The sequence below is a fragment of the Homo sapiens genome, chromosome 1 (genome assembly GCF_000001405.40).
Source record: "Homo sapiens chromosome 1, GRCh38.p14 Primary Assembly".
NCBI classification, from domain to species: Eukaryota; Metazoa; Chordata; class Mammalia; order Primates; family Hominidae; genus Homo; species Homo sapiens.
In genome coordinates this window covers 10,017,998-10,031,032 of record NC_000001.11, presented here as the reverse complement: position 1 = coordinate 10,031,032, position 13,035 = coordinate 10,017,998, and positions in this window count along the sequence as shown.

Below are 13,035 nucleotides of genomic sequence, written 5' to 3'. Positions count from 1 at the left end.
GAGCAATACACCGTGTGGCCTTTGGGGTTTGGCTTCCTTCACTTAGCATATGTTTTCAAGGTTCACGCATATTGTAGCATATATCTGTACTTCATTTCTTTAATGCCAAATGTATCACTGTATTGCTGTAGCGCATTTTGTTTATCAATTCATAGTGATATTTGGGTTGTTTCCACCTTTTGACAATTATGAGTAATGCTGCTATAAACATTCATGTACAAGTGTTTGTTTGGACATATGTTTTTATTTTTATTCCTTTTAGGCATATACCTAGGAGAGGAATTGCAGGATTACATGTTTGACTTTTTGAGAAACTGTCAAACTGTTTTCCAAAGCAGCTGCACTGCCACCAGCAATGTGTGAGGGTTCTAACTTCTCTACATCTCTACCAACAATGGTTTTTGTCTGTCTTTTTTATTGTAGCCACACCAGTAGATGTGAAATGGTATCTCTTTGTGGTTTTGTTTTTCATTTTCCTAGGAGCTAATGATGTTGAACATCTGCTTAGGTTTATCTTCTTTGGACAAATACCTATTCATTCATATTCTCTGTTCTTTTTTTTTTTTTTTTTTTTTTTTGAGATGGAGTCTTGCTCTGTCACCAGGCTGGAGTGCAGTGGCGCGATCTCAGCTCACTGCAACCTCCACCTCCCAGGTTCAAGTGATTCTCCTGCCTCAGCCTCCCAAGTAGCTGGGCCTACAGGCGCCCACCAGCATGCCTGGCTAATTTTTGTATTCTTAGTAGAGATGAGATTTCACCACGTTGGCCAGGATGCTCTCGTGGATCTCTTGACCTCGTAATCCGCCCACCTCCGCCTCCCAAAATGCTGGGGTTACAGGCATGAGCCACTGTGCCCGGCTTTTTCTCTTTCTTTTCTTTTTTCTTTTTTTTAAGACAGAATCTTGCTCTGTCACCCAGGCTGGAGTGCACTGACACAATCTCGGCTCACCGCAACCTCTGCCTCCTGGGTTCAAGCGCTTCTCCTGCCTCAGCCTCCCGAGTAGCTGGGATTACAAGCATGGGCCACCACGCCCGGCTAATTTTTGTATTTTTAGTAGAGACAGGGTTTTGCCATGTTAGCCAGGCTGATCTCAAACTCCTGACCTCAAGTGATCCACCCACATCGGCCTCCCAAAGTGCTGGAATTACAGGCGTGAGCCACTGCACCTGGCCCTCTGTTTTTTTGTGTGTGTTTTTGTTTTTTTGTTTTGTTTTTCTTTTTCCCTCTGTTCATTTTTAATTGGGTTGTCTTCTTTTTTTTTTCTTTTTTTTTATTTATTTTTTTTATTGATCATTCTTGGGTGTTTCTTGCAGAGGGGGATTTGGCAGGGTCATAGGACAATAGTGGAGGGAAGGTCAGCAGATAAACAAGTGAACAAAGGTCTCTGGTTTTCCTAGGCAGAGGACCCTGCAGCCCTCCGCAGTGTTTGTGTCCCTGGGTACTTGAGATTAGGGAGTGGTGATGACTGTTAATGAGCATGCTGCCTTCAAGCATCTGTTTAACAAAGCACATCTTGCACCGCTCTTAATCCATTTAACCCTGAGTGGACACAGCACATGTTTCAGAGAGCACAGGGTTGGGGGCAAGGTCACAGATCAACAGGATCCCAAGGCAGAAGAATTTTTCTTAGTACAGAACAAAATGAAAAGTCTCCCATGTCTACTTCCTTCTACACAGGCACGGCAACCATCCGATTTCTCAATCCTTTCCCCACCTTTCCCCACTTTCTATTCCACAAAACCGCCAGTGTCATCATGGTCCGTTCTCAATGAGCTGCTGGGTTCACCTCCCAGACGGGGTGGTGGCCAGGCAGAGGGGCGCCTCACTTCCCAGTAGGGGCGGCCGGGCAGAGGCACCCCTCACCTCCCTCCCGGGTGGGGTGGCTGCCGGGCGGAGACGCTCCTCACTTCCCAGACGGGGTGGCTGCCGGGTGGAGGGGTTCCTCACTTCTCAGACGGGGCGGTTGCCAGGCAGAGGGTCTCCTCACTTCTCAGACGGGGCGGCCGGGCAGAGACGCTCCTCACCTCCCAGACAGGGTTGCGGCCGGGCAGAGGCGCTCCTCACATTCCAGACGGGGCGGCGGGGCAGAGGCGCTCCCCACATCTCAGACGATGGGTGGCCGGGCAGAGACGCTCCTCACTTCCTAGATGGGATGGCGGCCGGGCAGAGACGCTCCTCACTTTCCAGACTGGGCAGCCAGGCAGAGGGGCTCCTCACATCCCAGACGATGGTCGGCCAGGCAGAGACGCTCCTCACTTCCCAGACGGGGTGGTGGCCGGGCAGAGGCTGCAATCTCGGCACTTTGGGAGGCCAAGGCAGGCGGCTGGGAGGTGGAGGTTGTAGCGAGCCGAGATCACGCCACTGCACTCCAGCCTGGGCACCATTGAGCACTGAGTGAACGAGGCTCCGTCTGCAATCCCGGCACCTCAGGAGGCCGAGGCTGGCGGATCACTCGCGGTTAGGAGCTGGAGACCAGCCCGGCCAACACAGCGAAACCCCGTCTCCACCAAAAAAATACAAAAACCAGTCAGGCGTGGCAGCACTCAGCAGGCTGAGGCAGGAGAATCAGGCAGGGAGGTTGCAGTGAGCCGAGATGGCAGCAGTACAGTCCAGCTTCAGCTTGGCATCAGAGGGAGACCATGGAAAGAGAGGGAGAGGGAGGGGGAGGGGGAGGGGGAGGGGGAGGGGTTATTTGTCTTATTGTTGAGTTATAAGAGTTCTTTTGTTTGTTTTTATGTTGTTTATATTTATACGATTCCCAAACTATTTTTCTTTTATTATTATTTTTTGAGTTGTAAAAGTTATTTACATATTCTGGATACTAGTCCTTTATCAGATATATGATTTGCAAATATTTCTCCCATTCTGTGGATGTCTTTTCACTTTCTTGATTGTATAATTTGCAGCACAAAAACAAAACAAAACAAAAATACAACAAAAAAAAACTTTTAATTTGGGCCTGATATAGTGGTTCACACCTGTAATTCCAGCACTTTGGGAGGCCGAGGTGAGGGGATCGCCTGAGGCCAGCACCAGCCTGGGCAACATAGCGACACTATCTCTACAGAAAACAAAACAAATCAAAACAAAACAAAAAAATAGTCAGGCTCATGGCCTGGTGCCGTGGCTCACACCTGTAATCCCAGCACTTTGGGAGGCCAAGGCGGGTGGATCACCTGCGGTCGGGAGTTCGAGACCAGACTGACCAACATGGAGAAACCCCGTCTCTACTAAAAACACAAAATTAGCTGGGCGTGGTGGCATATGCCTATAATCCAAGCTACTCGGGAGGCTCAGGCAGGAGAATCGCTTGAACCTGGGAGGCAGAGATTGTGGTGAGCCGATATCACGCCATTGCACTTCAGCCTGAGCAACAAGAGTGAGACTCCATCTCAAAAAAAAAAAATAGCCAGGCTCAGTGGTGCCTGCCTATAGTCCCAGCTACCCAGGAGGCTGAGACAGGATGATCACTTGAGTCCGGGAGATCATGGCTGCAGTGAGCTATTATCATGCCATAACACTCCAGTCTGGGTGAGAAAGTGAGACCTTGTCTCTAAAAACTAAACTGAAAAAAAATTTTTTAAATTTGATGTAGTCCAACTTATCTATTTTTAGTTTTGTCACTTCTGCTTTTACTGTAATACATTTGCTTTTACAAGTCATATTTAATAGTTTAATATTCAGATATTATAAGAAAGTATCCTTCCCATTTTGTGGTTAGAGAAAGTGAAAGATACAATATCTAGTATATATTGAGTATTCAAGAAAATGCAAGATAAAATACTGTTGTACATTTATTTGCTGAGTAGTGATATTGTAAAAATTATTATACCACAGAATTTTGTTCACCATAAATTCCATGTTCTGTCTAGCTTATCAATGATTCAACCTTTTATTCTGATAGATGGATTTTCTGACATAGGATTGATTTTTTTTCAAGATGTTTCACTATTTTAAGGCCAATAAATACATGGATGTTTTTCCTGTTTACAGGGGAATTCCACTCCTTTTCTTTTTCTTCAACTCTAAAGTACTCTTTCAGCAAATAGAATGTAATTTTATAGAATCAGAAAAATTAGAGACCAGGCATGGTGGTTCACACGTGTAATCCCAGCACTTTGGGAGGCCGAGGTGGGCAGATCACTTGAGGTCAGGAGTTCAAGACCAGCCTGGACAACATGGCGAAACCCCATCTCTGCTAAAAATATAAAAATTAGGCCAAGCATGGTGGCTCATGCCTGTAATCCCAACACTTTGGGAGGCCAAGGCGGGCGGATCACGAGGTCAGGAGCTCAAGACCAGCCTGGCCAACATGGTGAAACCCTGAACTAAAAATACAAAAATTAGCTGGGCGTGGTGGCTCACGCCTGTAATCCCAGCACTTTGAGAGGCCCAGGCGGGCAGATCACCTGAGGTCAGGAGTTCAAGAGCAGCCTGGCTAACATGGTGAGACCCCGTTTCTGGCCGGGCGCGGTGGCTCACGCCTGTAATCCCAGCATTTTGGGAGGCAGAGGTGGGTGGATCACGAGGTCAGGAGATTGAGACCATCCTGGCTAACATGGTGAAACCCCGTCTCTACTAAAAAACCAAAAAATTAGCCCAGCGCAGTGGCGGGCGCCTGTAGTCCCAGCTGCTCCGGAGGTTGAGGCCAGAGAATCGCTTGAACCCGGGAGGCGGAGCTTGCAGTGAGCCGAGATCGCGCCACTGCACTCCAGCCTGGGCGACAGAGCGAGATTCCGTCTCAAAAAAAAAAAAAAAAAGAAACCCATTTCTACTAAAAATACAAAAATTAGCCAGGCGTGGTGGCAGGCGCCTGTAATCCCAGCTACTCGGGAGGCTGAGGCAGGAGAATCACTTGAACCTGGGAGGCGGAGGTTGCAGTGAGCCAAGATCGCACCACCGCACTCCAGCCTAGGCAACAGAGCAAGATTCCATCTCCAAAAAAAAAAAAAAATTAGCTGGGTGTGGTGGCCCATGCCTGTAGTCCCAGCTACTCAGGAGACTGAGGCAGGAGAATCGCTTGAACCCAGGAGGCAGAGGTTGCAGTGAGCCGAGATCGCACCACTGCACTCCAGCCTGGGCAACAGAGTGAGACTCCAACTCAAAAAAAAAAAGAGAAAAATTGGAAACAAAGTCTCTAGCCACATAATGTACTTATCAGGGTAATTTTTTGTTTGTTTGTTTTTTGAGACAGGGTCTTGCCCTGTTTCCCAGCCTTGAGTACAATGGTGCAAACATGGCACACTGTAGCCTCGACCTCCTGGGCTCAAGCAATTTTCCCACCTCAGCCTCCCAAGTAGCTGGGCTTATAGGCGCATGCCACCATGCCAGGCTAATTTTTAATTTTTGTAGAGATAGGGTCTCACTATGTTGCTCAGGCTGGTCTCAAACTCCTGGACTCAAGTGATCCTTCTGCTTCACCCTCCCAAAGTGTTAGGGTTACAGGCATGAGCCACCACACTCAGCCCCCAGGGTCTTTTACAGGATGAATCTCTCTAATACACTTTTTAGTACCTTTACAGTTGTGTTCTAACTTGTCTAAGTGATGGAGTTTCCACCACTTTCCTTGGGAGAAGCTTTCCTATAATATCATAAATAACAGTGTGTCAGAGTTGTTTGTAATACATAGCCCATATTTTCGTTGTTTGGTTCAGTTTCTTCCATTTAAGCATTACATTACCTCCTTTGGATGGTGCAAAATACTCTGTCTGCCTCCCTTAGTAACTACCAAGCAACAGGACCTTAGTTAGTTCTTAGAATTACCTGGAAACCAGCAAAAAAAAAAAAAAAAAAATGTTTTTTACCTAGCAACAAATAAAGGAGGAGACCACAGAACAAACTGAAATGTGAGACTGAAATAAAAGTTATGCCTCACCGGGCAGATCACCTGAGGTCAGGAGTTCCAGACCAGCCTGGCCAGTATGGTGAAACCCCGTCTCCACTAAAAATACAAAAATTAGCTGGGTGTGGTGGCACACGCCTGTAATCCCAGTTACTCAGGAGGCTGAGGCAGGAGAATCGCGTGAACTCGGGAGGCAGAGGTTGCAGTTAGCCTAGATGGTGCCACTGCACTCCAGCCTGGAGGACAGAGCAAGACTCCGTATCCAAAAAAAAAAGCCTCCTAGTTAATGAAAAAGTTTTTGTGAAGGTAAATTCTAGAATTTGTAATATTTTAGGATAGCTTTTATTCAAGTGCCAGAGCATAGAGAGCTCACCAGGTTAAGATATGTTTTTCTGATAATCTTCCTGATAATCTACAAAACTAGAGCCAGCAATCTTCCTGATCTTCTTAGATCTACAAAGCCACCTACAACCGTAAGGATGTGCTGTTATCTCGGCTGCCATCAGAGATCAACTCCTTCATCTGGACTCTGGATTCCTTTCTCTCCTTTCTCTCTCACCTTCTCAAGGACTTTGGTCCAGCATTTATCCCCTCTCATCTGCAACATCACACTCTTCTCACTGGACACACCTGTGGTAGGAACACAAACTTTCTTTCATTTATGTACTTGTTTGTTTGTTTGAGATAGGGGTTTGTTCTGTAATCAGGGCTGGAGTATACTGGCATGGTCACTGGCTCACTGCAGCCCCGACCTCCTGGGCCCAAGTAATCCTCCCACCTCAGCTTCCTGAGTAGCTGAGACTACAGGCATGAACCATCACACCCAACTAATTTTTGTATTTTTTGTAGAGACAGGGTCTCCCTATGTTGCCCAGGCTGGTCTCAAACACCTGGCCTCAAGCGATCCTCCTACATCAGCCTCCCAAAGTGCTGGGATTACAAGTGTGATCTTTAAACACATACTAACTTGGTCAGGCGAGGTGGCTCGCACCTGTAATCCCAGCACTTTTGGAGGTTGAGGCAGGTGGATCACGTGATGTCGGGAGTTCGAGACCAGCCTGACCAATATGGAGAAACTCTGTCTCTACTAAAAATACAAAATTAGCCAAGCATGGTGGTGCATGCTTGTAGTCCCAGCTACTCAGGAGGCTGAGGCAGGAGAATCGCTTGAACCCGGGAGGCAGAGGTCGTGGTGAACCAAGATCACGCCATTGCACTCCAGCCTGGGTAACAAGAGTGAAACTCCGCCTCAAAAAAAAAACAAAAACAAAAACAAGTACAACAAAAAACATACTAATTTTAGGCCGGGCGTGGTGGCTCACGCCTGTAATCCCAGCACTTTGGGAGGCCGAGGCCGGCAGATCACGAGGTCAGGAGATCGAGACCATCCTGGCTAACATGGTGAAACCCCGTCTCTACTAAAATAAAAAAATTAGCCCGGCGTGGTGGCAGGCGCCTGTAGTCCCAGCTACTCGGGAGGCTGAGGCAGGAGAATGGTGTGAACCTGGGAGGTGGAGCTTGCAGTGAGCCGAGATCACGCCACTGCACTCCAGCCTGGGCAACAGAGCAAGACTCCGTCTCAAAAAAAAAAAAAATACTAATTTTAAAAACTCTGTAGCCAGCCTACAGTATTATGTTATAGCAGCCTGAACAGATTAAGAGAGGGAAGGGTCCAGGCTCAGTGGCTCACGCCTGTAATCTTTATGTTGCCCAGGCTGGTCTCAAACCCCTGGCTTCAAGTGATCCTCCTACATCAGCCTCCCAAAGTGCTAGGATTACAAGTGTGATCTTTAAACACATACTAACTTGGCTGGGTGAGGTGGCTCACGCCTGTAATCCCAGCACTTTGGGAGGCTGAGGCAGACAGATCACGAGGTCAGGAGATCAAGACCATCCTGGCCGACATGGTGAAACCCCGTCCCTACTAAAAATGCAAAAATTAGCCGGGCATGATGGCATGTGCCCGTAGTCCCAGCTACTCAGGAGGCCAAGGCAAGAGAATCGCTTGAACCCGGGAGGCAGAGGTTGCAGTGAGCCGAGATCATGCCACTATACTCCAGCCTGGGCAACAGAGCGAGACTCTGTCTCAAAAAAAAAGGAGTTGAGATCAGCCTGGGCAACATGGTAAAACCCCATCTCTACTAAAAATACAACAATTAGCCAGGTGTGGTGGCGGGCGCCTGTAATCCCAACTACTTGGGAGGCTGGGGCACAAGAATCCCTTGAACCCTGGAGGCGGAGGTTGCAGTGAGCCAAGATTGCACCACTGCACTTCAGCCTGGGTGACGGAGCGAAACTCCATTACAAAAAAAAAAAAGACTGTTTTGCAAACTCTCCTAAAGATTGCACCCAGAAGTTATAATGAAATCCTTATGAGCAGGTCGAGGAAATATCAAAAGCAAAACTCTTATCTGTGGAGAACCGAAGACTCTTAAGGGCAAGAAACTGAGGGAAAATAATCTGCTACAAAAGGTCTCAGGAAATAAAGATTCTTGCTGTGGACAGAAACAAAGAGAATATTAAAAAGTATTCATTATAGGCCAGGCACAGTGGCTCACGCCTGTAATTCCAGCACTTTGGGAGGCTGAGGCAGGTGGATCATGAGGTCAGGAGTTCGAGACCAGCCTGGCCAACATAGTGAAACCCCCATCTCTACTAAATACACAAAAATTAGCCGGGCGTGGTGGCCCATGCCTGTAATTCCAGCTACTCAGGAGGCTGAGACAGGAGAATCGCTTGAGCCTGGGAGGCGGAGGTTGCAGTGAGCCAAGATCACGCCATTGCACTCCAGCCTGGGTGACAAGAGCAAGACTCCATCTCAAAAAATAAAGTATTCATTATAAATATATTGACTGAATTTCACTGTCTGAGACTCCATATGAAAAGGCTAGGCCGGGTGCAGCGGCTCATACCTATAATCTCAGGACTTTGGGAGGCCGAGGCAGATGGATTGTATTAGAAACGGCAACCAAGAGACATATTAATTCATTTTTAAGATAAGCCTATTACATGCAGAGTGGCCTTGTTTGACATTTTTGCAAATCTCTTTAATGTCTGGCTTAATAGAAGACAGCTGAATTCTCAGATGTACTTCTGGGTCAGGTCAGTTGTGATGTGGCCTGGCAGGAAGTCTCTGGAAAACTCCCATATGCTCATGAGAGAGAGAGAATGAAGAGCAAATATCATCTCAGGATTATTATGAAAATAGCTTTGATCTCACAGATACCCTTAAAAGGTCTCGGGATCCCCGGGTCCTCAGATCACGGTTTGAGAACACTGTCCATTGGGGGCATAATCCATTTGCCATCAGTTTGTCACATACCTCCAGCAGGCCAAGGTGGGCAGATCACCTGAGGTCAGGAGTTCGAGACCAGCCTTGCCAACATGGTGAAACCCCCTGTCTACTCAAAATGCAAAAATTAGCTGCGCGTGGTGGCAAGTGCCTGTAATCCCAGCTACTTGGGAAGCTGAGGCAGGAGAATCCCTTGAACCCAGGAGACAGAGGTTGCAGTGAGCTGAGATTGTGCCACTCCACTCCACCCTGGGTGACAGAAAGAGACTCTGTCTCAAACAGAAATAGAAAAAAAAGAAAAAGAAAAAGAAAAGCCTATAAAATAATAGTTGTCAGCACATGGTCTCTAGGGAACTTTTTGGAGTGATTGACTTGTTCTGAAACTGGATTGTAGGAATGGTTGTACACCTATGTACATTTACTAGAAATTATCAAATTGTACACTTAGGTGCATTTTATGGTACATAAAATATACCTCAATAAAGCCATTAAAGAAAAACAACTCAAGTCCAACAGAGTCCAAAAGTAAAAAAAGAAAAAGAAAAACTCCAAGAGTCATATTCCAAAAAATTAAATTTTTATTACAAGGGGCCACACTTGTAATCCGAGCATTTTGGTAGGCTGAGGTGGGTGGATCACTTGAGGCCAGGAGTTGGAGACCAGCCCAACCAACATGGCGAAACAAAAATACAAAAATACTAAAAATACAAAAATTAGCTGGCCATGGTGGTGGTGCACACTTGTAATCCCAGCTACTAGGGAGGCTGAGGCAGGAGAATCACTTAAACCCGGGAGGTGGAGGTTGCAGTGAGCGGAGATTGCACCACTGCACTCCAGCCTGGATGACAGAGTGAGACTCTGTCTCAAAAAATATATATATATTAAAGCAGAATTGAAATGCTATTTCTCCTCCTCTTCCTCTCCTCCCTTCCTCTCCCTTTTTCCCCCCCTTTAAGGGCATCCAAAGTATGTGGATCATGGAAGTGCCTGCTTTGAAGATCTTTCTTTGCTAAGGATGAAGCTTCCAAGCTGGTTGTGCTGAAGGGCCAACATCTGGTAGTAATTTCATGAAAGGATTTTTTTTTTTTTGAGATGGAGTTTCACTCTTGTTGCCCAGGCTGGAGTGCAATGGCATGGCGCTATCTCTGCTCACTGCAACCTCTGCCTCCCGGGTTCAAGCAATCCTCCCCCCTCAGCCTCCTGAGTAGCTGGGATTACAGGAATCTGCCACTTTGCCCGGCTTTTGGTATGACCTAGAAACTTGTTTTTTGTTACAATACTTCTCAGTGTCAGAATAATATATATTGAATTCATCACTCATTTTTATGGTTGTTTCATATTCTCAGGACCTAGTAATAATAATAATAGTGAACTTCCAGGAATATATACTGAACCGAATTCAATCTAAGCAATTATGATTAAATACTTGTAAAAGTTAACTATAGTAAACCTCAGAGAAGATAGCCTCTTGCTTTTTTTTTTTTTTCATAGAGATAGGGTTTTGCTCTGTTGCCCAGGATGAAGTGGAATGGTGCGATCATGGCTCACTGTTGCAACCTTGAGCTCCTCAGACTACAGGGATGTGTCACCATGCGTGGCCAGCCCCCTGAGACAGGGTCTTGCTCTGTTGTCCAGTCTGGAGTGCACTGGCACAATCTTGGCTCACTGCAGCCTCAACTTCCTGGCTTAAGCTATCCCCTCACCTCAGCCTCTGGAGTAGCTGGGACTACAGGCATGGACCACCACACCCAACTAATTTTCTATTTTTTGTAGAGACGGGGTCTCAGTATGTTGTTCAGGCTGGTCTCCAACTCCTGGGCTCAAGGGATCCTCCTGCCTCAGCCTCCCAAAATGCTAGGATTACAGGTGTGAGCCACCATGCCCAGCTACCTCTTGTATTTTGAAATGACAAAAAGACCTTTTACATATTATATTTTCTCACTTGTTTTGTTCTACCATTCCTAAATGTCTTTCCAAACTGTAGTTTGTATCATGTAGTAAAGTTTAATGAAATATATATTTGGTCTTTTTCCCTGGTTCTGGCACAGGGCTCCTAAATTCCTTGGAATTTCCTGAGTGATAGGATTGTCTTTTGCTATTCATAAGGAGCCCCTTTAGAACACACCAGAGTCTATGCTAATGATGTGACTCAGGGTTGGGGCTGCTCACCAGAAAGACCAAATTAGAGGACTTTGATTAGAGGGTGGAAACAGCCCCACCCCAACCTCCTGGGAGGGAAGGGGGCTGGAGATGGAGCTCTATGAAAACTCCTGAACAAGGAGGTTCAGTGAGCTTCAGTACCAGTGGAGGGTGTCCAGGTTTTTGGCATTTTGAACAAAGAATTTAACAAGGGCCAGGTGCGGTGGCTCACGCCTGTAATCCCAGCACTTTGGGAGGCCGAGGCGGGCAGATCACGAGGTCAGGAGATTGAGACCATCCTGGCTAACATAGTGAAACACTGTCTCTACTAAAAATACAAAAAATTAGCCGGGCGTGGTGGCGGGTGCCTGTAGTCCCAGCTACTCGGGAGGCTGAGGCAGGAGAATGGCATGAACCTGGGAGGCAGAGGTTGCAGTGAGCCGAGATCACGCCACTGTACTCCAGCCTGGGTGACAGAGCAAGACTCCATCAAAAAAAAAAAAAAAAAAAAAGAGTTTAAGAAAACACACAACCAAGAAAAAAATGAAACAACAAAAGCAGAGAGTTATTGAAAATGAAAGTACATTTCACCAGGTGGGAGCGGGCCCCAGCAGCCACTCAAGGGCCCTGGATACAGAATTTTCTCCAGTCCAAATACCCACTAGAGGTTTCCCATTGGCCACTGGGTGTTCACCCATGTAAATGAGGTGAAGTAGTGGCCTGTAATCAGTCCGATTGGTTGCGGAAAGCAGAGGTGGGCGGATGATGAGGTCAAGAGATGGAGACCATCCTGGCCAACATGGTAAAACCCCGTCTCTACTAAAAATACAAAAATTAGCTGGGCGTGGTGGGTGCTAATGCTAATGCATTATAATTAGTGTATGATGAGCAGTGAGGAAGACCAGAGGCCACTCTCATCACCATCTTGGTTTTGGTGGGTTTTCCTGGCTTCTTTACCACAACCTGTTTTATTAGCAAGGTCTTTGTGACCTGTGTCTTGTGCTGTCCTCCTATCTCATCCTGTGACTAAGAATGCCTTAACCTTCTGGGAATGCAGCCCAGTAAGTGTGGGGGAATCACCTGAACGCAGGAGGTGGAGGTTGCAGCAAGCCGAGATGGTGCCACTGCACTCCAGCCTGGGCAACAGAGAGAGACTCTGTCTCAAAAAAAAAAAAAGGCAATTAATTAATTAATTAGAGGTACTTACAATTTCCCATCTGCCACAGAAAAGGTAGGGGTTTGCAAAGGGGTAGCCTCTGGTCCTTTTGTTACTTAGGCTTGGAAAGTTAGGATTTTCTTTTCAATTTAGTTCTAGGAAGTCAGCCCAAAACAGCCTTAGGTTCCCTGCCTCCAGACCCTGGTCTCCTGCCTCAAACATATCCACGCACTGCAAGGGTGGTGCACCTGCAGAGGGCAAGGAAGCTCCGCAGCCCCCCACTAAACCTTGTCCCATGCATCTCCTCCATTTGGCTGTTCCTGAGTTGTATTCTTTTTTTTCCTTTTCTTATTTATTATTTTTTTTTTTGAGACGGAGTCTCGCTGTGTCGCCAGGCTGGAGTGCAGTGGCGTGATCTAGGCTCACTGCAACCTCCACCTCCTGGGTTCAAGCAATTCTCCTGCCTCAGCCTCCTGAGTAGCTGGGACTACAGGCGCCCACCACCATGTCCAGCTAATTTTTGTATTTTTAGTAGAGACGGGGTTTCACCATGTTGGCCAGGATGGTCTGGATCTCTTGACCTTCTGATCCACCCGCCTCAGCCT